Source organism: Homo sapiens, chromosome 18 (assembly GCF_000001405.40).
Source record: "Homo sapiens chromosome 18, GRCh38.p14 Primary Assembly".
NCBI classification, from domain to species: domain Eukaryota; kingdom Metazoa; phylum Chordata; class Mammalia; order Primates; family Hominidae; genus Homo; species Homo sapiens.
In genome coordinates, this window is record NC_000018.10 from 79,183,034 (window position 1) to 79,208,578 (window position 25,545).

Here is a 25,545-nt window from a genome sequence, read left to right on the forward strand (position 1 = left end):
ATAAATCCTTTCTGACAGTACCTTCCCCTAGCCACATTCTTGCATGGTTGGATAATGCTGTATATTACTGTTTTTACTAGTAGAATATTTATTCAACAATATGCTATGGGTCATCCTTTCATGTTAGGAATTGTGTATCCTTGCAAGTGTTTTATTAGCTGCATAGTTTCTGACAAATTATAGCTTCCATAGCTGACCTGATATTGGTAAATTTAAAAGATATCATTTTGAAATTCTAGATTTAAAAAAAAGCATATTTCAAGAATTTTGATTATTTGGCCAAAATGCTTTTCAGAAGACTATGCAACTTATCTACTGTGTATTAATTAATCAATTAATCTTTCACTGTTTTCCAATCTGATAACTGTAACAATGGTATCCCATTTAAATTTACATTTGTTTAGTTTTTTAATGTGTGAGATTGAAGATAATTCTTACCTAAGAAAATGTATTTCTCATATTTTTATTTTCTAAGTCTGTTCATGTTATCTGCTAAAGTTTGTTAATAATTTTTTATTTTCCAATGTTTCTAAATACTTCGTTTATAGTTTCTGTTGCCCATATAAAAGTTCAGTGTATTTAGATAATGTGACCTACCAATATTTTTTTCAATGATTTCTGCTTTTTGGTTTTATGCTTTGACTATTTCTACTCATGATTATATTTTAAATAATTAGTTTTAAAATAATTCCTGCTTTCCATACAAAATCTGATTATCTACCATTTTTGGGGGGAGTATTTTTTTTTTAGTTTAAAGTTAAAAAAAAAAAAAGAAAAACAGTAAGTTGCACCAGTACCATTCACTGAAGAACTTTTTTGTTAGATTTTTATTTTTGCACAAATTTAATATTGTCCCCATATGTTTATACAATTCTAATTTCTCAACATCAGGGTATCAGCGTATCTGTTTCTCCATAACTTTACCCAGTACACATTGCAAATATATTCTCCAATCTGTTTCTTAACTTCTGGCCTTATAATATCTTCGCTATGTAAATATTTCAAATTTTATTTAGGTAAATATTTATATGTTTTCTTTTATTGTTTATATGTTTTTCTTTATGCATTTATAGGCTTTGTCTTGTACCAGGAGGCTGTTTGCCCACCAGTATTCATTTATCATTTTAACCACTTTTAAATGTTTGTCAGTAGGTGGAATCGAAAAGTGAGAGCCAAGTAATTTGCATTTACACTATTATAATTATTAAAATAGTTCCTATAGTTCCAGCTGATGCACAAAGACCTAGCAGAGGGAAGTTGAATCTTTCACTTAGTATGTGTGGCTAAAGAATTGTTTGAGAGTTAAGGTTAAGTAGGTTTTTTTGTTTGTTTGTTTGTTTTTTTAATTTCATGTTATGAGCTGAGCAGAATCGTGCGTCACTCCAGCCTGCATCTTCTGTGTCATCATTTCCCTCCTCAGCCCTTTCTCATCCTCGCTCTGCTTCCCAGGGTTTTCGACTTGCTTTTGGTTTTTTTTTATGTTGTGAAATAAGTCTGTTCTATTATCTTATTACTTGACATCTAGCTTATTGTTCTCATACTATTTATTAAGGTAAGTTTTATCATAGAGACATTCTTGCAGCCTATTGACTTTCTAATGTAATTGGAACTGATTGCTGGGTTAGTGCTACTGTTTCATGGTTACATATTTCCTCCTTGTGTCCTTCTTTTTCTTGTGTACATACTCAAGTAATCTCTGCAGAACTAAAGGGATAATATGAGTCCTTAAATGACTGGAGGGGATTTTGGTTGGCTGTAACACTTGGACAAAAGCCCCACCCTCTGCATCCTCCTCCTGAAGAACCTTCCAAGAATTCTAGGGTCCCTGGCAGTAAGCAGCTTGGGAGCAAGTCACACTAAATGATAATTTTCTAACAGATTTAATTTTGCTAAGTGTAGTAGAAAAGAAAGTACAGAATCAAAACACTATATTAGAAAAAATTTGTCTGAAAAAAAAAAACCCAAAAAATCCAGCCAAGCAAGGATGTCGGTACATGTTTCCATTAACATACAATTCTGTACAAGCGATCAGCAGGTGACAGAGGTTAGCAGTGCAGGGATAGGCGGGTTGCATGGGGGCACGGGGATACTTTTGTGAGTAATGAAAATGTTCAGTATCTTGAGGTGGTGGTGGTCACAGGCATACACATATATCAAAACAAAATGGTACACTTTAAACGTGCAGTTATTGCATGGAAATCACACCTTATGAAGTAGTTACAGATTTTCATACTGTTATCTATAACTTTGAGTAATGCTCTTTGCCATGATTATAGGAAGTGACATTTTATTATCTTCAATATTATAAGGATACTTTCTTTATTTTTATTAGTGACAGATATATACACATATAAATTCAAAAATATGTACAGAATTAAAATAAATAATTCGTACAATGCAACTTTAACATTTTCGTGGCCAGTACACTTTGATACAGAGTCTGATTAAGGATTTTAGTGACATAACTATATGGTAAATGAAAACATTTTAATTTTTGCTGTTACCACACCACCAAAAAGCAGTATATCCTAGGAAAAAAGGAAGTTCAACTGAATATCTGATTCATTAATCAATTTTATATTTTAGCTTCACATAACTTGGCATATTAGGTATAGATCTTTTTTCTATAGAGAAGAAAGCTCTGATTTCATTATGGATATGGGCAAGGCAATTGAGTTTTTCATGTAATAGCTTATGCCCGTAATCATCCCTCATTCTGACATTCGTGTCTCTCGTGGTGTAGATCTGAGGGTCTTCTGTGTTGTGAGCTGTTTGTTGTATCACAGTTGTGTCACATCAGACTGTGTCCATGGTGACAGCCAGGCTGAGTAAACTTAGAGACCTAAGAACTCATCTGGAAGAGCTGAGGACACAGCCAAGAATAACCTTTGTCCATTCTGTTATATTCTCAGAGAATTAAAATTTCAGAGTCATGTAATAATAACTGTGCTGCAGAGCCTGTAATGGCAGGTGCAGTTTCTTGTGGCTTCATAGCTGTCTGGAGGCACAGTTTTCAGGCGTTGTAGACATTTGGGAAATATGTTTCTGGCTTTTGTGATCAAACAAATTTATTAACAACCACAAGGCCACAGTAACTTTCAATAAATCATGACATGCTGATTTATTTCAAAAGATCCGTATAGCAGTAAACAATACCATTTACATTTAATTAGTTTTATTGAACGAAAGGCAATTTTATTTGTAATGAACCACATGTTATGATTAAGGATGTATTTTAATGACCTTTAAGTAATGCGAACAAGTGTTGGCCTTGACCTCACAGCAGAGGCTTTCCTCCGTTATTGAAAACTTCAGAATGATTTTTAAATTATCGTGAAAAGCTTCGAATGACATTCTCATTATTGTGCCATTTATTCAGTCATTTGATGTCTACTATACTAGATGAAATGCATTACTCTAAATGCTGATGTGTGTGTAGAAATGAGCTTGCCAGCCTGTTTTTTATTTTCATGTATCAAAAAGTAGTTTGAGGTATGAAAGTTTCATGTTTTGAAAATTACTGTGACAGTGTCATATTTAAATGATGAGTGATTCTCAGACTTGCCTTATCCCTGGAATCACTTGACTGCTTATTAAACATTCTAGTAGAAGTTTCATAATTCTCAAGTTACTAGAGAATATTTCTTTTCATGTAAACTAGCTTAATTTAAATAAATTTTTGCTATTAATAGTACATAGTCTAAGCTACTATAACAGTTGCACTGTGGTAAACTAGTATGTTCAACCTTCAGTCCACCCTTCCTGCAGCCTCTGTTCTTTAGAAATTTGGAAACTAGCCTGCACGTATTTTTCACAGTTTCTTGAAAGGTGTGTGAATTTGCTTTCACATTGAATGTACTTTCACAGAGCTTGTAAGGCAGGAGTGAGGAGGAGGTATCTTTTTGCCTGTGTGTTCTCTGCTGACAGGTGTCCTCATGGGTCTGAGTTCCTGCTCCCGCTCTCCAGCTTTAGGGCTTGGGTGGGAGTGCACTATGTGCATGGTGGTCTCCAAACCACGTGTCTCAGATGTGATCCTTGCCATAGTGCTTTCCTTGGATGGATATTTTGGTAACATTCTGAGAGTAGCTTTGGAGCTTCAGTCCTGAACTTCATCCTTTCACTGATTTGGGAAGCATCTTGTTCTGTGTATGAAATCACTTTCTGCTACACTGTCTAGGGTGGCTTCTGTTTCCTGTACTGAAATGTGACTGACGCACCTTAAATCAAAACAGATTTTCACCCTCACAGTAGCCCAGGTGGGTGGTCAAAGGGTGATAGGGCAACTTTGTCATCTCTGATACGTGGGTTCCAGTGACTGCCCCACCTCCACACTGTCCCACAGGGGAGGTTCGGAAGGAAAGGCCTGGTGAGTACTTGGACTCAAAGGGGCACATGTCCTTTCGCATGCTCTGCTGGCCAGAATCAGTTACCTGGTCCTAACCAGCTGCAAAGAATGCTGAGAAATGCATTCTTTAAGTGAGAACCACCTACACATCTACAGCTCCGAAGTTCTATTTTTCAAAGGAAATGGGAAGAAATATGGAAGGTGGTCTCTGCCGAGCCATTTCTTCATTTTGTTTCCCGTTGAGTGTCTGATTCCCCCTGTGCTGCTGCTGAATGGAGTGCACAAAACCATTCCAGCAGTTCTCAGAGGACTGTGCTGCCCTGAGAACAGGATGCTCCCTTTAGCATTGCTGTTATAATTCCCTGTTTCATTAGCATCAGTTGTTTCCCATGCATTCTTCAAGGAACTCAGAGCAATTTACAAATTTGTATGGTAATGACTCACATAGATTAAAATAGAAAAATGAATGAAATATCAACAGAAAAATAGTAAATATGTCTTCTAGAAATGAAATATGCCATATCAATTTTAGGTGATCGAATCTTCTCTGTTAAAGATTTTTTTTTTAAGTGATTGAGCATGACTTACAACTCTCCAGTCCCTTTAAGAAGAGATCTGGCAGGCAAGAGTCCTGTGTAGAAAACATGAGGACGCCCTTTAGCTGTGCTACCCCTTTTCTGAAAGGATTATTGGAATGCGTGTGTAGAATCAACAGGAAAGAGAAAGCCCGGTGCAAATGTAAAAGCCCAGCCCAGAGGAAGTAGGTGTTCCAGGAACAGAAAAGAATAAATTCAGATGTCTAATGTACTTGAAGAAATATGAGAGGATGTTACTAACAACCTAAATAAAACAAGCTATGAAAAAGGATCATGTGGAAAATAAGAGCTCTTAGAAATATATATGGTTGCTGAAATTTTAAAAAAGTAAATAAGAGTGGAAAATGAATTGTTCTACGTCCCTCAGAATACAGGCCAAGGTTGGGAAATACAAATTGATGGTTACCAGTTTTAGCTCGGCCCTCGGTGCTCCCTGTAATCCTTGTTAGAAGTTATAATCAACTGTGGTTCCTCTTACTGATGACAGTGCTTTCAGACTTTTCCACTCTCCTTTGATTTCTGATCCACCTGTCTTTTCCTTCACCGGTAAGACCAGTTTGTCTTACCTTACATGGAAAAAGCATTCTATCAAATGGAAATTCCTTCAATATCCCATTAATAAATAAAGAACATTACCTCTATTCTCCCATTTTGCTATAATTGCAATAAAGAATCCTTCTAAGAATAATTATTTTATAGTTTTCAACTGAGCTTATCAAATTGTGCTTTTTAGAGACCTTGGTAGATGAGTAGTTTCTTCTCTCTTTTTCTAATCTTTCTCTGTTGGTTTCTTTCTGTTATCTCTTAAGGCCTTCAAGTGTACCTCGGCTTCTCAAGTCTTCCTTTAGATCTTTCTTCAATTTTACTGTAATTGAATATTTTTAGAATACTATTTTATCTCTTGGCTTTTTAGCATTTTTTTTTTTTTTAGTTTGCAGTATTCTGTTAACTAAAATATGCCTTTAACTAGAGTTTTTTAACTAGTTACAGTATGCCTTTAACTAGAGTTTGCAATATGCCTTTAACTAAAAGTGTATTGTGAAAAGTAAAAATTGTACCATTTCACATAAAATACAAGAATTTTGTCCTTGAGGCCAGGCACGGTGGATCACGCCTGTAATCCCAGCACTTTGGGAGGCTGAGGCAGGTGGATCACAAGGTCAGGAGTTCAAGACCAGTCTGACCAATATGGTAAAACCCCATCTCTAATAAAAATATAAAAATCATCCGGGCGTGGTGGTGTGCACCTGTAATCCCAGCTATTCAGGAGACTGAGGCCAGAGAATCGCTTGAACCTGGGAGGCGGAGGTTGCAGTGAGCCGAGATCTTGCCGCTGCACTCCAGCCTGGGCGACAGAGCGAGACTCCATCAAAAAAAAAAGATAATTTTGTCCTTGAATAGACCTGTTTCCCCCACCCACCCTTTGTACTATACATTCCCCTTGAACAACACAGGGGTCAATTGTATCAATCCCCCACGCAGTCAAACATTTATGTGTAAACTTTTAACTCCCCCCAAATTTAACTGTTAATAGCCTACTGTTCACTGGAAACCTTGCCGATAACCTAAACAGTTGATTAACACATATTTTGGATGTCATATGTATTATATACTGTGTCCTTACAATAAGGTAAGCTAGAGAAAAATTATTAAGAAAATCATACGGAAGAGAAAATACACTTATATAGTACAGTACTGTATTTTTTGATAGCACAAGTTGACATCACCTGTTTACAAGGTGAACTGTCTGTCTGAAATGGTGGGCAGCCACAGCTGCAGACTTTAATCCACCACACATACTTAGCAGCTCAGTTTTTTCTTGTAGTGTGATGACTTTTGTCTACTTTTTGAGAACATTTCCAGCATCACTAGAAGCACTTCTTATTGGTCCCGTGGTATTATTCAAGGTTCACGCCATGGTATTACGCCAAACACGATGGAAAACATGTGAGCACCATGAGCGAGCACTCGGAACTGTGATGCACAGGGTCCTGGAGCGGAGACGGCTCACACAGAGGTCAGTGGTGCCGCACCGCATTTCCAGCAGACCCTTGCACGCACTCCCCGCAGCAGCAGCAGGAGGGGCTGCGACACGATTCCGGGAGCACAGTGTGTACTGCACTTAGTTCTGTGCAGTTAGGGTTTGATACTGCATCTTCAGGATCATTAGCAAGTCACTCGGCTGCAGATGGTGTCATGACCTGTGTGTTTAGGTTTTATTTTAACTTTTTGTAATAGATTTGTGTATATTTTATTGTAGTAAGTGATATAATAGACTATGTCTACATACATTTTATGTTCTCATGTTATACCTAACTTTAAACATTTAAAAAAAAATTCTAGGGTATGTGGTGTATCTTCAAGGTTTTTCAAATTATCAACAAATCTCCAAAAGTTTTCTAACAGATTTATTGAAGAAAATTCATGTATAAGTGGACCTGCACAGTTCCAACCCATGTTGCTCAGGAGCTCAATGTACTTTTTAATATGTAGTATATCTACACATATCATAAACTGTTCCAGCCCTTTTTATTTATACACACACACACACACACACACACACACACACACATATACATATATTTTTGGCACAGAGTTTTGCTCTGTCACCCAGGCTGGAGTGCAGTGGTGCGATCTCGGCTCACTGCAACCTCTGCCTCCCGGGTTCAACCAGTTTTCTCCTGCTTTAGGCTCGTGAATAGCTGGGACTACAGACGTGCAGCAGCTTGTGTGGTTAATTTTTGTATTTTTAGTAGAGACGGAGTTTCTCCATGAGGGCCAGGCTGCTCTCAAACTCCTGGCCTCATGTGATCCACCTGCCACGGCCTCCCAAAGTGCTGGGATTACAGGCATGAGCCACCGTGCCTGGCCCATTTTATTTATATTTTAAAGGAATTAAGATTAAAAACAGGATTTGGGGGTTTTTTTTAAATATTTACTTAGATATTTACTACTTTTGTTCCTTACCATTCCTTCTTGAAGATATGAGTTTCTGCCTGATATTGTTTCCCTCTGCTGATATTCCTCTGGTGGATGTCTGCTGGAATGGAGTTCTCATTTTATTTATTTGACAGTGTCTTTATTTCACCTGTATTCTTAAAGAATATTTTTGCTGGATATTGAATTCTGGCTTGACAAGTCTGCCTTCCACACCCTCCACCCCTCACTTTAAATATTTTGTTCCATTGTCTTCTGACTCCATTATTTATAATGAGAAATCAGTGGTATTTTGATAGTTCTTCTCTTGTGTATAATGTGTTATTTTTCTTTAGGTATTTTTGAGATTTTTTTTATTTTTGGTTTTTAGCAATTTGATTTTGATATTTTTAAATTTTATTTATGTGTTTAGGGGTTTTCTGGACATCCTGAATCTGTACATTTCTGGCTGACAGTAAATTTGGCATATTTTTAGTCATTATTTCTTCAAGTAGTTTTTGTTTTTTCATCCTCTCTCTGTCCACTCATTCTGAACCCCAGTTACATGCATGTTAGACTCCGCGATATTCCCTTCATGGTTCTATGACTGTATTCATGTTCAAAATAATTTTTTCCTGTGTCTTTTTGAATCATTATCTCTTGACCCGCATTTAGATTCACCATCATCTGTAATCTGTTAATCCCATCTAAAGAATTTATTGCAGACATTGCATTTTTTCAATTTTGGAATTTCCATGTGCTTCTCTGTTCTTAAATACACTTTCTCTTTCTTTGTTGTGATTTCCTACTTGCTTACTCGTTAGGAGCATGTTTTTCTTTAAGATGTGCTAAAGCTGCTTTGAAATTCTCATTTCTTAATGCTGAAGTTTGACCATCTCAGGGCCAGTCTTCACTGATCATGTTCTTTCTTGATTATGGACCTTGTGTTTTTGTTTCTTCATATGTTTAGAAATTTGGATCATCTCTTCATTTTTTTAAATGATTCATTGTAGAGAGGCAGGATTCAGGATTCTGTTAGGTTCTCCTGAAGAGTACTGGTTTTTTGTTTGGTTCTGTTTTAACTGGTAGCTAACTTGACTGAAGTCAAACTGCAGACTCTACCTTTCTGGCATTAGGGAGCTGCTGTGGTGTTCTCGGTTCCATTCGTTTAGTGGATATAGTTTAGGGCATGATAGGTTAGGTGTCAGAATGAGATCATACACAGATTCGGCCCCTTCTGAGGCACTCTCCTTTCTGAGCTTCCATTTCTTTCTCACTTTGCAGCTGCTGTGGTCACCCTAATCTCTCACCTCTGCTTCTTCATGTCTGGGAGTCTGGGAGGTTTCTGTTTGAGTTTTAGCAGCCATGACAGAACTTTATACACTCACACGTACAGAATGGAAATCAAAATTATAGAAATGGCAAACTCTGTGTGTTAAAGGGTCATGGGTTGGGGGGCGGGTCACAAGACCACCCGAAATTAGATGGTTTATTAGGAGGACTCCCAGGACTCAGCATATGATCCTCCCCCTGGCTGTGATTTATGACAGCAAAAGCATACAGCAGAGTCAGCAGCGAGAAGAGGCACTGGGGTGGCGTCCATTGGAGACCAGGCTCAGCCTTGCCTCTGGAGACTTTCTGATTTAACCTTTATGTGTAGCCAATGAATGAAGCAACCTAAACCCTATGTCTTTTCTGCTCTAAAATTAATGGTATGAAAGTAGCCATGATGTGTGTTTCGTGAAAGCTTTCCCATGTGATTGTATAAGTATGTGTCATGAGCATGTGATTCAGACACACAGGACAAGCATGTCTTCATGGCTGTAAGGAAGGCCACCCTTAGCTTATAGTGACCAGTGCCTGCTTGAATGAAAGCATGTAAACAGATCTAGGAATTTATTAAACTGTTTTATAAAACTTGTGAGGAATTGCGATGGTTCCTTATTTCCCCCTGAATACTTTGATACCCAGGTGACTTCAAGATACTCCTAAACAGGCTCCACCTCTACCATTGGAGCCCCCTGGACAGGCCCCGGGGCTGCCTGTTTTGAGTGTCTCCTGCATGATTTTGACTCACACCTGCTGTTCAAAAGCACACCCTGTCAAGCTTAAAAATGGTTTCTTTCTTTATCTGACATTCTAATTTATAGTGTTGGCACACAAAAATCTAAGAAAATCAATGATTGCTTTTGGTAAATAATATATGAACAATATTAATCAGCAAATGAGAAATTTCCAAGTAATTTTACTAAACTATAACATTCTAATCGATTCAAATGTTCTGTATTCCAGGACCTTTTTTCTATCAGTGCTTATGTTTATGCTCAGAAACCACAAATGGACATTCACAGTTTCGAAGGCACATTTACCAGGGTAAGTTAAACCTGTTGTTCAATACAAATAGAGTTATTGTGTAAGTTAAAAGTAGCAAACCTTTGAGACAGTAATTCAATCAAGAATAAATTCAAACAGAAGTTTCAAACTAGGAAGGGAAAACCTATATAATGTTTGAAGTTCTTAAGTGTACCCATATTAAATATGTCTTTGGGATACATTTAGTACAGTTTTTGGAATTTTTTTTAGCATATTTACTAATAAGATCTTTATCTCCTAAAATATTGTGAATCAGTTAAATGAAGTAATTTATTTTCATTCTGACTGAATAGTTGGTATACTATCTTATCCACATCATGTCTAGCTTTTTACTGTCTGAGTTGGGTGGGTATTTATATATATGTGAGTCTGTACATGCATGTTGTGTTTCTTTATACACATATGTATATTTCATGCCACACACTTTATATTATTACAGAGTTTTGTTAAAGCTGGAAGCACCTTGCCCCTGACTAACAGGGCTTGAGAGACTCAATAACTCTTTATTTTAACAGCTTATAACTGATATTATAAATGCTTTATAGTAAGGGATTTTAGTACATGACTATAGGTTATTTGTAATTGCTGCAGTTATTTTAAAAATACTTTTGTTGGTGAATTCACCTTTATTTCACTCTTGGTCACTTGCAGGGATTGGCAAGCAGTTGTCATCACTTGAAAAAGCATTTACAGAGCTTATATAATGTGACAGTTAGTGTGCAGACTATGGGAATGTGAAGCACGGGCACCTGTGAGGTCGTTAAAGTCCCTTGGGGCACTGGGCCTTTTGTAGCTGCCTATTTCCATAGGTGCTGCACACAAGCATGCATAAGATGTTCATGGAGGGACAGAGGAGGAAGCATGACCTGGTGATAAATATCATGGAGTGAATTCTGAAATAAACTCACATCTTTTTTTTTTAAACAAAAGTAGTTACTATGAAAACAACATGTTCTTATTAAAGACAACATATGAGAATAAATGTTACAAAAAGGTACCCTTGGTAAGATAAATGAAAAGGTATTTATGTAACCACTATTAAGAATTTGAAATATTATTTGCTTTCTTCCTTTCCTTTTCTTGCTGTTTCCTCTAATTTATATTGCTCATGACTTTGAAAAGTCGGAAATGTTCGCTAGACAATGTGTGGAAGTACAAGGAAGTCGGAGAGCAAGTGCAGGTTGGCTGAAAAACCTGGTTCAAACGGGAGCGTATGGCTCAGTCTGCAGGTGTGACAAGGGCTGGGGCGTATTGGACTAGAAAGGTATCAGTGGCTTGACCGGAGGAAGCCATTGAAGGATCTTTAGCTTAGAAGAGAAATGATAAATACAGATGTTTTAAAAAGATGCATTCATAAATTCTGATTCCCTTAAGATAATGGTGGCCACTTAACTTTGTTACATACCACACAGGCTTCCAAAATCATACAGGCTAACTATGAGAGTAGAGAGTTTAATCTGTAGCTCATGTTTAGCAGAAATGTGAGACAGAAAATACTGTGAACTTCAATTTACTGTAAGTGGGGAAAATATCCAAAATAACACAGTTAGCTCCAGAGCCAGGATGGTGCAGCAGAAGGAGATTGTCTTGGGATGCTGATATCATCCAGGTTTTGCACACAGAAGAAAATAATGCATCCTGTGAATGACTTGGGTAAGTAAAGCTTTGGGACATTGAAGGGACTTGTGGAGAAAGTACAGGTTGGAAGTGACGTTGGGGGAATGTATAGGGGCAAGGGGCACTGGTAAAGAGTTGGTGGCTCTAGGAGGCTTGGTTAGGAAGAAAAAGACAAAGTTGACCTTCCTGAAACATTATAATAACCATCAGAAGAGTCAGCCCACACCATCCCAAAAGGATGCTTTTCATTGAAGACATAGAACTTCATTGTGCCTGTAGAAGAAGGGACTCTTGGACTAAGAAACAAATTCCACCTCCCATCCTTGGAATAGGATTTCCTATTTGTACAGATTCAAGAAAAATAGCTCTTATTATTATGAATAGAAGAAACTCATCTTGCTGTCTCGCCCAGGCTAGAGTGCAGTGGTGTGATCATAGCTCATTGCAACCTCAAACTCCTAGGCTCACACAGTCCTCCTGCCTCAGCCTTCTAAAGGGTCGGGATCATAGACATGAGAGCCATCGTGCCTGGGCCAATGTAGTTATTAACAGAAGAAAACATAAGTGGGAAGCAAATTTTCAATTAATAAAAAATTTCTAAAAGCAAGGAAAGAAAAAACCTCAATGCAAAGTAATTCTATAACAGTGCAACAAGCCTGATTTAAATGTTACTAACCAAACAATGGTACTTAGGAAAGAACACCATAAATCAGACATTTAAAAACACAAGAATCAAAATGGAATAAATTTCTCAAGAATGTAAGAATAAAAGCTCAAGAATAAAACAGGATAACGTGAATGAGAAGGCTAACTGAACTCAGGAGAACACTGAACGTGAGCATCTGAGAAGGGAGGACCGAATCACAGCGTGCCTGTGGGGGATGCACAGTAAGAGATAGGGAGGTTGTAAAGAAGAGAGTCAAGGAAACGAGATAATCAAAGAGGTGAAAAGGACTAGAAGTTGATGGATGTGGAAGATTGGCAAGAAATACTCAACATGAGAGTCTTGAAACAAAATCATGAAATGGTTTGAAACATTGACAGCTCAAGTGTGTGTTATTAAATACAAGGATGTCTGAAGGTACACACTAAAAGGGCCCAGCATGCACGTGAGAAAACTCCAAGACGTGTAACTGCTGTCATATTTTACATATACAGGGAAAAATCCTTTGATCTCCCTGGGAAAATGACCAGCTCCCCACAGTTGGAAGGGGCCAGGTTGGTGTCAGTGTTCTCAGCATACGGAGCCATACAAGAGCAGCACAGCCTTTCCAGGAGGCTCAGGGGAAGAATGTGTGAGTGGAGTGTTTTGCTCCTTCAAAACTGTCCTGCAAGTGCCAATTCTGTGGAGAGCAGTCTCAAGCATACAGAGTTCAGGTGTGTTGTACACATGAGCCTTTTGTGAATAATCTTACAGAGGATTAGCTCTGCCTGGCTGATAGATGACCTGGGTGGAAGTTTTATGGTGAGCACTGAAGATCTAACAGACGTAAGAATAAAACAGTGGAGGGAGGATGGGTGGAAGATGGTACAGTGTATATGAATTTTATACGCTTCCTCTAATAATCAGCTGAAAAGCAGGAAGAGGAGGAGAAAATAGAAGGAGCTCATTGGTTGCTACGTGGGTGTTAAGGCAGTCAGAGACTATTGAAAGCTGACGAGCTCAATAGTAGCTGTCAAAGCAAGGAGAGTAGGATGAAGGCAGGCTACTGGGACAGTGGCAAAATGGTAGTGACCAGAAAATACACACCTCACCAAAAAATAAATTTGGTTTTAAAAATTAGACAACAGTTGATCAATTCATATGGCTAAAGATGCATAGTATGCAGGCTCTTTCACACAGAAAATTAATTGGATCAGAAAGCCTAAAGGAAAGATATATCAAGCAAATACAAATAAAAAGGAAACAGGAGTTGCAGTCTTGGTACTTAACAAGAATACCAGTATAGAATCGAGAAAGCATTTAGAATGAGGTGAAGAAAGATGCTATAAGATAATAAAGTCCGTCATAGGAAACTTTAACATCTACCTGCAGTTCCCAGTGGGTCAGGTGGACAGAAAGGTAGGAGAGGCATAGAAGAGAGAGCTCAGAACATGAGCAGTAAAATATATCATTTTAAATTTTTATTGAACTTTGTTCCCCAGTAATTTTTATTTGAGCATATATAGGGTGTCACCAAAAGTTGAACATACATTTGCTTGTAAAGAAATTTTTATTTCTATAACATAGAACTCATACAGACAATATTCTCTGATCACAATGCAATAAAATTGGTAAGCAGTAACAAAATCAGTGAATGAAACGACTTTCTGCCTGTAAATGTAAATATATTAATCAATTTTTGTATCATAGGAGAAATATAAACTGAAATTGGAGAATTTCTATAAAATATTGGTAATGGAGACACTGCATATCAGAATCTGAATCTGTTTGATATGTTTGGAAATAGGAAAATTTATAATCTTTATATATATATAGCAATAAAAATAAAAATGAAAATTAATGAATTAAATAAGTATATGACAAAGTGAACAAAAAGAGTGCAGAGGGAAGGAAGAACATATAAAGGTTAAGGTCATATAACTAAAAAATAGAACCTTAAAGCCATTCTGTTAGGGTGGGGATTTCAGAGGCCAGGTAATAAAAGGAGGTAAGTTTTTTAAAAAATACTGTGTGTTAAGTGATACAATATTGATTCAGAGTAAACTGTGATAAGTAAAGGTTGCATATAATAATTCTCAGAGCAACCACTAAAAAAAGAAAGAGGTCAGTAGAGGTGATGAAGTTAGATGCTAAAGTGGGATCAACTGGTTTCTTTCCCCTGAAAAAAGACAGGTGCAGGAAACCCAATACCAGGTGTGACAAGTAGAAAACAAAGAGCAGCAAAGAGCAAGATGGTTGACTCAGTAATTAAACGTCTCTGCAGTTAAAAGGCAGAGACTGTCAGACTGGAGAAAAACATAGTACCCCCGAATTCATAGAACTAATAGGCAACATAAAATCTACGAGAACGGATTTTTTCCTTCTAATCTATAGAATAAGGACATGTAGTTTATTAAGACTATAGAATATTAAAATAACATTAGGAAGGCACTTCAGCATATTGACAGATATTATTAAATGCAACAGCTACATAATACACATTTTTCAAAATCTCATGGAACAATCCCAACTATAGTTGAATATAAAACAAGTCTTAGTATATTTTTTTAAAATTGCAATTGTATATTCACTAATTACAATATGGAATTAGAAATAAATAAAAAATCTTTAAAATCCTCAGGTATTTGGAAATTAAACTCAAAAACCTAAGTTTAAAATTAGATGGTTTAAATCCCCAATTAAATGGACAGGAGTGTCAAGTTGTATAAAAAAGCAAGATTCAAATATATGGTGCCTATAAGAAAACACATTAAAAACACAGGTAAAAAGTAAAAAATAGATACCGTACCAACACTAATCAAAGCTGGAGTTACTTATAGTAATATCACACAAAGTACATTTCAGAACATAATGAGAAAAGGGTTTATTATGGAGACAAGTAAGCCCTAAACATTTATGCACTAATAACAGAGCTGCAAAATACGGTCATGAGTTGCTTAATAGTAGAGTTACATTCTGAGAAGTAAGTTAGACCATTTCGTCATTGTGCAAACATGATGGAGTGCACTTACACAAACCTAGATCGTGTAGCCTACTACACACCTAGGTTATATGGTGTAGCCTGTTGCTCCTGTACTTCAAACTTGTACAACATGTTACTGTGTTTAATAATGTGGGCAGTTGTCACACAATGATAAGTATCTGTGTATCTAACCATAGAAAAGGTACAGTAAAAAATGCTGTATAAAAGATTAAGAAATGATACACCTGTATAGAGTACTAACGACAAATGGAGTTTCCAGAACTAGAAGTTGGTCTGGGTGAGTCAGTGAGTGAGTGGTGAGTGAATGTGAAGGCCTGGACATGACTGCACACTACTGTAAACTTTTTAAACACTGTACATGTAAGCTACACTCAACCTATTTAAAAATGTTTTTCTTAAATAGTAAATTAATCTCAGCTTCCTATAACTTTAATTTTTTTTTTTGAGACAGTCTCACTCTGTTGCCCAGGATGGAGTGCAGTGGCGCAATCTCAGCTCACTGCAACCTCTGCCTCCCAGGTTCAAGTGGCTCTTCTGCCTCAGCCTCCTGAGTAGCTGGGATTAGAGTCACGCACTGCCACGCCGGGCTAATTTTTTGTATTTTTAGTAGAGATGGGGTTTCACCGTGTTGGTCAGGCTGGTCTCGAACTCCTGACCTCGTGATCCATCTGCCTTGGCCTCCCAAAGTGCTGGGATTACAGGCATGAGCCTGTAAACTCATTTTTACATACCTATAACTTTACACAAAGTAAATTACACAAAGTAATTTGTGCCCGGCCCTATAACTTTAATTTTTAAAAAATCTTTTTACTCTATTAATAACACTTAGCTTAAAACACAAACACATTGTACACCTGTACAAAAATATTTTCTTTATATACCTAGTCTGTAGTCTTTTTTAGTTTTTAAAAATTTTACTTTTTAAACTTTTTTTTGTTAAAAACAAAGACACAGCTGGGCGTGGTGGCTCACGCCTGTAATCCCAGCAATTTGGGAGGCCGAGGCTGGTGGATCACGAGGTCAAGAGATTGAGGAGACCATCCTGGCCCATATGGTGAAACCCCATCTCTACTAAAAATACAAAAATTAGCTGGGCGTGGTGGCACATGCCTGTAGTCCCAGCTATTCAGGAGGCTGAGGCAGGAGAATCACTTGAACCCAGGAGGGTAGAGGTTGCAGTGAGCTGAGATTGTGCCACTGCACTCCAGCCTGGTGACAGAACAAGACTACATCTGAAAAAAAAAAAAAAAAGAAAAATGCAGACACACACACACACACATTAGCCTAGGCCTACTCGGATCATCAGTATCACTGTCTCCTCCTACACATTTTGTCCTGCTGGAAGATCTCCACGTGTAATAACAGGCAGGGATTTGTCCCAGGATAACAATGTGTTTTTCTGGCAGAACCCTGGAAGGACCTGCCGGAGGCTGTTTTACAATTAAGTTTGTCTTTTTATAAGTAGAAGGAGTACACTCTCAAACAGTGATAAAAAGTATAGTAACACATAAACTAGTAACATAGTTGTTTGTTATTTAATATTATGTACTGTACATAATTGTATGCACTAGACTTTCATGACTGGCGGCCCAGTAGTTTTGTTTTCACCACCGTCACCACAAACACGTGAGTAATGTCTAATGCTATGACATTCTGATGGCTGCAGCATGACCATGTGGTAGGAATGCTTCATCTCTGTTATACTTTGATGGGGCTACTGTGGTTTGTGCCATCCACTGTCTACTGAAATGTTGTTATGTTGTACACGATTGTACCTGAAGCAGAAACTGTTAGAACTTCAAGGAGAAACTGACAAATCCATTATGATAGTTGGAGATTTTAATACCCACTTCTCAATAATTGAACAAATGAGTAGGGAGAAAATCAGTAAGGATATAGTAGAACACTATAGTGTTGAAGAACACTATTCATGAAGTTGACCCCATTGATAGATACAGGGACTTAAGGCAGCAGGATGGGTAGCTTACCCAGTGCACACAGAACATTTATTAAGGTATGCCAGAAAAAAGCTTAGGAAAAAAAAGGCAACTCATAAAATATGCTCTCTGACCAAGTGGGCTTCATTAAGAAATTATAATAAAGGTTTCTCGGAAATTGCCAAATATCAGATAATAAAGGATACATTTCTGAATATCTTGTGAGTAAATGTGTTTATGTCAGAGCAGAGGTGGAGGTGGGGACTGTCGGGGTCAGAGCAGAGGTGGAGGTGGGAACGTTGGGGTCAGAGCAGAAGTAGTGGTGGAATTGTTTTCATCAGAATAGACTTGGGTGGGGCCCTGGATTTCCAGGCCACAATGCTCAGTTGCCATTGAGGTTCTAGAGCCTGAGGCTCCCACACCCTTTTAGGAGCTGGTGCTGGCTGTTGCCCTGGCTGCTTTAGGACGGTCGGTTGGCCTCTCAGGTGCAAGTGCCAAGTGTTGAGCACAAACTGAATTTAGGAACGGGAATGGCTTCACCCCATGAGGCACAAGACGTGTGCTGATGGCCTGGTGATGGTGACCACTTGTGGGAGGCTGTGCCACTCAAAGAGAGAAACTTATTTGTGGTTTTCAAGCTAATTAAAGATACATTTACTTTGTGTAAATTACTTCAAGTTCATTCACACAGATAGCCTTTCATTGCCTTTGATGTTTTCTAACAGTTTTTTTCTCATTTTAGATATATCCATTCTGAAATCTGAATTATTTTGATGATAGTTCTTGATTTTTCTGTGTATTTTTCAAAAAGGAAGAGAATAAAGACATGATAAATAACTTGTTTATAATGAGAAAATGGAATTCAGTTAAATTCAAATTTATCAACTGGGCATTGTTAAGGAGTGGTATCCACTTATCTTCCTTTTTTATAGTGTAATATACATAAGACAAAATATCTTTTGTGTCAGCTTAAATACTTAAATAAGAATTAGAACAAATTGGCTGGGCATGGTGGCTCATGCTTGTAACCCTAGCACTTTGGGAGGCTGAGGTGGGAGTTGAGCCCAGGAGTTCGAGACCAGCCTGGGCAACATTGGGAGACCTAATTTACTTCTTTATTTTTTGAGATGGAGTCTTGCTGTGTTGCCCAGGCTGGAGTGCAGTGGCGTGATCTCGGCTCACTGTAGCCTGTGCCTCCTTGTTCAAGCAATTCTCCTGCCTCAGCCTCCCGAGCAGTTGGGACTACGGGTGTGCGCCACCAAGCCCAGCTAATTTTTGTATTTTTAGTAGAGACGGGGTTTCACCATATTGGTCTCGAACTCCTGACCTAGTGATCCACCCACCTCGGCCTCCCAAAGTGCTGGGATTACAGGCGTGAGTCACTGTGCCCAGCCCCTGATTTCTGATTTAAAAAAATTTTTTTTTTAATTAGCCTAGTGGGGTGGCTACAGCTGGAGCACGCCTGTAGCCTCAGCTATGTGGGAGGCGGATGTGGGAGGATTGCTGGAGCCTGCCAGGTTGAGGTGGAGCCTGCCCTGAGCTGTGATTGTACCACTGCACTGCAGCCTGGGTGACAGAGTGAGACCCTGTCCTAAAATATATATATATACGGAATTAGAGAAAATTAATTCAAGGTCCCTGTGGCAGTATACCCAGTATGCATGCTGATGCCTGTGCAGAATCTAATGGAGATGTGGCGCTGTGATGGTGTCTGCTTCCTCTTTCCTCAGATAATGTGAGAACAACCTAAATTACTGATTGTATAACCTTTTTCATTATGTGAATGATTGATATCGCTAATTTCACTTATTGTTCAAAATCTGTATGTATTGTCTTGGAAGTTTGGAGTTGTAAATTGTAGCCAGTTTTGAAGTATTAGCAGTATTTATAGTCCTTTAACATCACATTCCCAGTTAGTCATTTTGAGAATGTATTTTCTGCTGTAATTTCTTTTGCAAACCATAGCACACTTACATTGTTCATGTCTTCTTCAGCCAAAATACTCTCCTTCAAAAAAGCAAACCTCTGCTGTTTGTTAAGTAGGGTATGCTGTTGAGAGAACAGCATGAAATGGTAACATTTTGCATCCTCCCCCAAGCAGATTTTATCTGTTCACACTTATAGACCATTAAAGAGAAGGAAAGTGAAATAGAACATTTTAGAGATAATTTATTTTCAGTCTTCCCAGTCTTTATTCTGTGCTTCATGAGACTGGTAAAAAACTATCTTTTGGAATAATTTTCTCCATGTTAGAAAAATGTTTATAGTCAATCATCGCCATTCCAGAACTGAAAGAAAGATGCATAGATATTGTGTTTTCTTCAACATAAAATTGTGTTAGAGACAGAAACATTCATATGGAAAAATGGTCATAGAAAAGTAACAGGAAACCAGCTAAAATTTCTAAAATGAAATTATATAGAACCTTTTGTTTACATTTGAGAAACCCTTCTAAAATTTTTATGTTTTTTAATGCCCTTATTCTCTTGGACTTTGACATTAGGAGAAAATATAGTACTAAAAGATTGACATGCATCAATAATTAAACTTTCATATCAAGTGAATCATTAGGAAGAGTTTAAAGGGAATACAATTGTGTGAATTTCTACTTGGGTGGTGAAGTCACGATGGGCATCTTCAGGCAGGAGAACCGGGAGGAGCAGGTGCCTGATGCCTCATACAGGTGGAAGGCTTAGAGTAACAGCAGGCAGGAGGCCCTGGAGGAGCAGGTACCTGATGCATCATGGAGGCAGTAGGACGTGGAGGAGCAGGTACCTGATGAGCGATAGAGGCAGGAAGCTTAGAGTAACAGCAGGCAGGAGGCCCTGGAGGAGCAGGTACCCGATGCTTCTTAGAGGCAGGAGGGCGTAGAGGAGCAGGCACCCGATACTTCGTAGAGGTAGGAGGCTTAGAGTAACAGCAGGCAGGAGGCCCTGGAGGAGCAAGTACCTGATGCTTCATAAAAGGAGACTCAGAGTAACCACAGGCAGGTGACTCATTATAGCATCATGCTTGTGGGCACTGCAGGTGAAAGACATCTTGATTCCTGTGGATATTAGAAAAAGAATTTCATGAGTGTTCTTTTGTTTATTGGACAATGTTCATTGCCTATTCTGTGCTAGGTGCTAGGAAGGTAATACCCATAAAATATGGGATTAGAAACATGTCAATTGCTCTGATACAATAAAATTCTGAATTTATGGTAGATAAAAATTTTATTGCTTCAAGTTTTAAAATGATAAATAGGGAATTCAGTATTTGGCTTCTTAATGCCAACTGTATGCTCAATTGGCTGTGCCAACGCTGGAACCTCTAGACCCCCAGCAGGTAAAGGATATACCGTGTCAACCGTATCTGGGAAGTAGGAATGAGGATGTCTATCTTTTTTGTTTCTTCAACAGTGTTAGAGGATATATATCTTTTTTTTGTTTCTTCAATAGTGTTAAGCTGAGTTAGACTGTAACACCATTTGTTTGAATGAATCAGAAATTGCCCATTTCAGTGCAATCCTAAATTCAATTACAAAGTAGTCTAATCCATAGAGGCTACTTGCTTTTTCTTTAAAGTTGATATTTTGGTTGTTCTATCAAATCATAAAAGTCATAGGGATAACTCAGTTTTTCTGGATTGTTTATCTTAGCATTGAATAAATTGTATGCCTTTACTCTGAGCAGCTACTTTAGTTATAAACAAAGTAAACAAAAGGCAGTTTCCATCTGGTATTTTCTGTGGAAAAAACAAGAACAGTGTTGGAAAATTAAGTACTTGAATGTTCTTCTGTGTTTTAAAGCCCGTAATAGTGGTGTGTTAGCTACTGTGCAGGAGCTTAATTTCATTCCAGTGTATTTTGACATTGGTAAACATATTACCATTAGTATGAAACTATATAAAAAATAAAGCAGTTAAAGGTATAAACCACTTTTACAGCCCTCCTCCCTTCCTGATACAAATACTAGTATTACTCTTTTGACTCTTCCTTTTAAGTTCTTTTCCCTTGTAAACATGCAAATTTATATTGGGATAATATAATTCTCAGGTTTTCCACTTAAAAATATATATCCTTAGTATTTTGCATATGAATACAGGTTAATTATCAGATTTTTATAAGTTGTAACTGCTAAGTTCAGGAAAGCATGCAACATGTTGTACTTGATAAAGTGGAATTAATTGAAGGAAGTAATTCCTAAGGGACTGTAGAGTTAAAGGTATTTGTGTATCTGCAGAAATAGTAATTGGTCCATGCTGGAGTCAGCACATACTGTAGACAGATTGTTTCCATCCAGGCTGTGTCTGCAGGGCGCCTGCTCCTTAAGACCATTGACATCACTGAGAAGACCTCTTTGTGTCCTTTGTTGTGGCTGGCATTGCACTTGTGCCTACTGAGATCATATTGTAGATGACGTAACCAAGGTACTGTTTATTTAAATGCCAGTGTATATTTTTGAAATGATTTTTTTTTTCAAAGAAACAGCACTCCAGCTGTGTTGTAAACAATTCCCAGCATCATAGCCTTCATTCTCCCAAAGGCTCAGACGCTAAGGTCAGTCTTCAGGTCAGGCGGTCGCCTTCTTGTGAAGGGACGTGGTGGAAGGTTCATGATCCCCAGGGCCCTGAGAGTCTGACCCTGAGCTGCACCTGCATTGCAGGACACTTCCTAACTACTGGGCTTGCTATTTTGGGCATACAAGGCAACTGGAGGCCAAACGCCTTCCTCAAATTGAATGTAATTGAAAATACTTTAGTTACTAAATAATTGCCATATTAGGGGAAATATTTTGGAAACTGTTAGGATTGGTTTAGATTCTGTGCTTCACAAATAAACAAATCAAGTATATGAGAGAATCAGATATCTAGCAAATATCTTCCAAGTAATGAGCAAAACGGCCAAAATTACATCATCTGAAAGTGGTTTGATAAGTAACTAGAAGGAAAACACCAGTTACATAAACGTATTTTGTACATGCAGATTATTTTGGAAAATATGTTTTCAATTTCTTTCCTTTTCAAATTTGATTTCTTTTTTTTTTTCTTAAGGTATATCCTGATAGCAAATTATCATTTCATAACAAAATACAGTTTGTGGAGGGGGCATTATTTTACGGGAGACGCCCAACAGTCAGGACAGTGTGTGGCTTTTACCCTATCCAGATGTCGAGGTCACTGCCTCCCACACGGGACGTCTTCCCTGTGTTACTTCTAGATGCAGGGCTGTGGATGCATTCCTTTATTCTAGTAAGGCTTCCATTACCGAAATGTAGGCCATGACTTTACATTAAGATGAAAAATTCCCAGATTTTAAATTGTAATTTTCTTCTCTGAATATGAACATTGAAAGTGTAAATGTAAAACTAGACTGTACATATTGCTGTCGTGATACTGATGTGTGGCCATATTGGTTTGCTATCTGTTAAGGTAGTTAGCATCATATAACGTACTTGAATTTTGTTTAAGAATATTTCGTGTAATAACAGCATACTTTTTTTTTTTTTTCTTTGAGACAGAGTCTCGCTCTGTCGCCCAGGCTGGAGTGAAGTGGCGTGATCTTGGCTCACTGCAAGCTCTGCCTCCCGGGTTCACGCCATTCTCCTGCCTCAGCCTCCCAAGCAGCTGGGACTACAGGTGCCCGCCACCATGCCCAGCTAATTTTTTGTATTTTTAGTAAAGATGGGGTTTCACTGTGTTAGCCAGGATGGTCTCAATCTCCTGACCTCATGATCCACCCACCTCGGCCTCCCAAAGTGCTGGGATTACAGGCGTGAGCCACCGCGCCCGGCCAATAATAGCATACTTCTAAAGAGGAATTTAAGAGAAATACATTTTTAAAATATATGTTTATTTTTTAACAATATTCACAGAAGCATTTTCTCTGTCGTGAATACATGCACACTTAAAAAGCATTGCCCTTGTCCTTCACAAGAGATAGAGAGAGGAAATTATGCTATGCACGCAAAAGAAATGTTGAAGAGTTGACTTGTGGTTATTTCTGTGCTAATATTTTCTACTTTTCCAGGAGTGTTGTTAAATGATGTGTTAAAGATGTAGTTGAATACGCTAGGCATGCTGGATGCACCTGTAAACCTAGCTACTTGGGAGTCTGAGATGGGACGATTGCTTGAGCCCAGGAATTTGAGACCAGCCTGGGCAGCATAATAACACCTCATAAATAAATAAATAAATAAATAAATAAATAAATAAATATTAGAAGGTATAGTACTTTCATGAAAATTTAGAATTATTTCGTTTGTGTATTAATGTTAAGCATTGCAAGCAATTAATTGATTACAGGAGTTCTTTGAACTTGTACTTTCAATTTTTTATAGTCCCTTTTTTCTAACGTCTGTTTTGCAGTGCCTTTGCACTGCTGTTCACTTGGATTGAGCTTGTGGACCTGTTTCTAATACTGAGGTTATATAAGGTGTGAATAATGAACAATCATTTGACGGTTTTGTTTTCTTTTTGTCTCCCTGCACAGGAAGACAGTGACCCGCCCATTCATGAAAGTCTCAGCATAGAAAATACATTGTGGGCAAGCACCATTGTTGCATCAGGTAAGGAAAACATTCTCCTCTGAGTGTGATTGCTCCCGGATAGATGATGCTTTGTTTTGTCCAGGGACTCCAAACAAGGGTTTCTCACAGTGCCCTGAAATATTTAGGGACCTTGCTAAACGCAGACTCCAGCTCAGTGGGTCTGAGACAGTCCTGGGAGCTTGTGGTGAGGCTTGTGCTGCTCCTCAGACACTGCACGTGGTTCGCAAGGCCTGAGACAGGGAGAGGTGCTGCAGCCTTCGTGCAGGAGTACAGGGATATTCTGTTCGTCTTTGACCTGTTTCTTGACAAACTTGTCAGTGTTCCTTAATGAGAGGCACCACAGAAGAGCTTGGGAAGCCAGTGGTGATTTTAGCGCTTCTCAGTCATCCGACAAGGGTTGGCAGGAGGAGAGTGGCTGAAGTGACTGTGGAACGGAAAAGTATTAGAAGAGGCCAGGCGTGCTGTGAGAGGTAGACGATGTCAGATGATTACCATGTTATCAGGTATGAGTTGACATTGATGATGATGTTTGGAAGGAAGCTGATGAGAAATTAGGTGATGCTGAGGTTGATGCCAGGGAGGAAGTTTACCAGGAATGGGTTGGTATCGATGCTGGTGCCAGTAATGGGGCTTAGCAGCAGGGAGCTCTGGAAGAGAGTGCCCGAAAGGTGATGGCAGCCTGGAATGAGAGGCTAGATTGTTGGAGCTGTGTCTTCTCGGTGCTGCCCAGTGCTGGGTGCCCTTCTCTCCTGGATGCCACTCACTCCCCCATGCATGTGCATGGAGCACCTGTTCTCCACCAGGCACGGTGATTCAGTCTGGGGCAAGGCGGTTCCATATCCTGTCCTCAGGGAGCTTATGGCTTTGTGGACAGAGGTTAAGCAAGTGTTCTAGGTAATGTTGCTGTGCTAAGTATCACCAACACGTACAGAGAGTGCTGTGGACGGTTTGTAATTAAAGAAGCTTATAGGCCGGGCGCGGGGGCTCACGCCTGGAATCCCAGCACTGTGGGAGGCCGAGGCGGGCGGATCACAAGGTCAGGAGATGGAGACCATCCTGGCTAACACTGTGAAACCCCGTCTCTACTAAAAATACAAAAAATTAGCCGGGCGTGGTGGCGGGCGCCTGTAGTCCCAGCTACTCGGGGGGCTGAGGCAGGAGAATGGCGGGAACCCGGGAGCCGGAGCTTGCAGTGAACCGAGATCGCGCCACTGCACTCTAGCCTGGGCGACAGAGCGAGATGCCATCTCAAAAAAAGAAAAATGAAGTTTATATAGACCAGGTCTAGGAGCAGCTTTTCTGAAGAAGAAACATTTAACTTGGATTTAAAGAATATGCAGATGTGGCAGGATGAGGCAGGTGGCAGAAACAGTGTGAGGAGCATTCCTGCTAGCAGCCTAGTACTGAGAGACAGTACCTTGAAGAAAAGGATCCAAGGGCCAGTGTGCTAGGCCCATGGAGAAGGCAGGTGTCACACAACAGGGCAGCTTTGTGTGCTTGTGTTTAACTGTTGGCCTGCAGTATGCAAAACTAACTATACAACGAACTCCAGGAGGAGGACACATGTTAGCTTTTTGGATGATA

General features: G+C 38.8%; 1 protein-coding gene across 36 annotated transcripts in view, besides 1 other annotated feature; it reads left to right on the forward strand.

The window, feature by feature from the left end:
• The window catches only part of ATP9B (ATPase phospholipid transporting 9B (putative)), a 308,890-nt gene that overhangs the window by 113,640 nt on the left and 169,705 nt on the right, over positions 1 to 25,545 (forward strand). For 35 of the 36 annotated variants that reach the window (NR_148360.2, XM_017025726.2, XM_011525963.3 and 32 more), the window contains 2 exons: positions 10,150 to 10,230; positions 23,904 to 23,979. Coding sequence is in view for 34 of the 36 variants with exons in the window: in XM_017025726.2 (XP_016881215.1) it covers positions 10,150 to 10,230; positions 23,904 to 23,979 (157 nt within the window). In the remaining 2 variants the exon portion in view is untranslated. Of the gene's footprint in view, positions 1 to 10,149; positions 10,231 to 23,903; positions 23,980 to 25,545 lie in introns of those variants that run through there. The other variant, XM_047437501.1, reaches the window with a different exon arrangement.
• Positions 3,684 to 3,743: a silencer, noted in NCBI's record as "silent region_9568". NCBI's record gives its function as "represses an Ori minimal core promoter by ATAC-STARR-seq in GM12878 lymphoblastoid cells {active_cell/tissue: GM12878}" and the evidence as "EXISTENCE:reporter gene assay evidence [ECO:0000049][PMID:35858748]".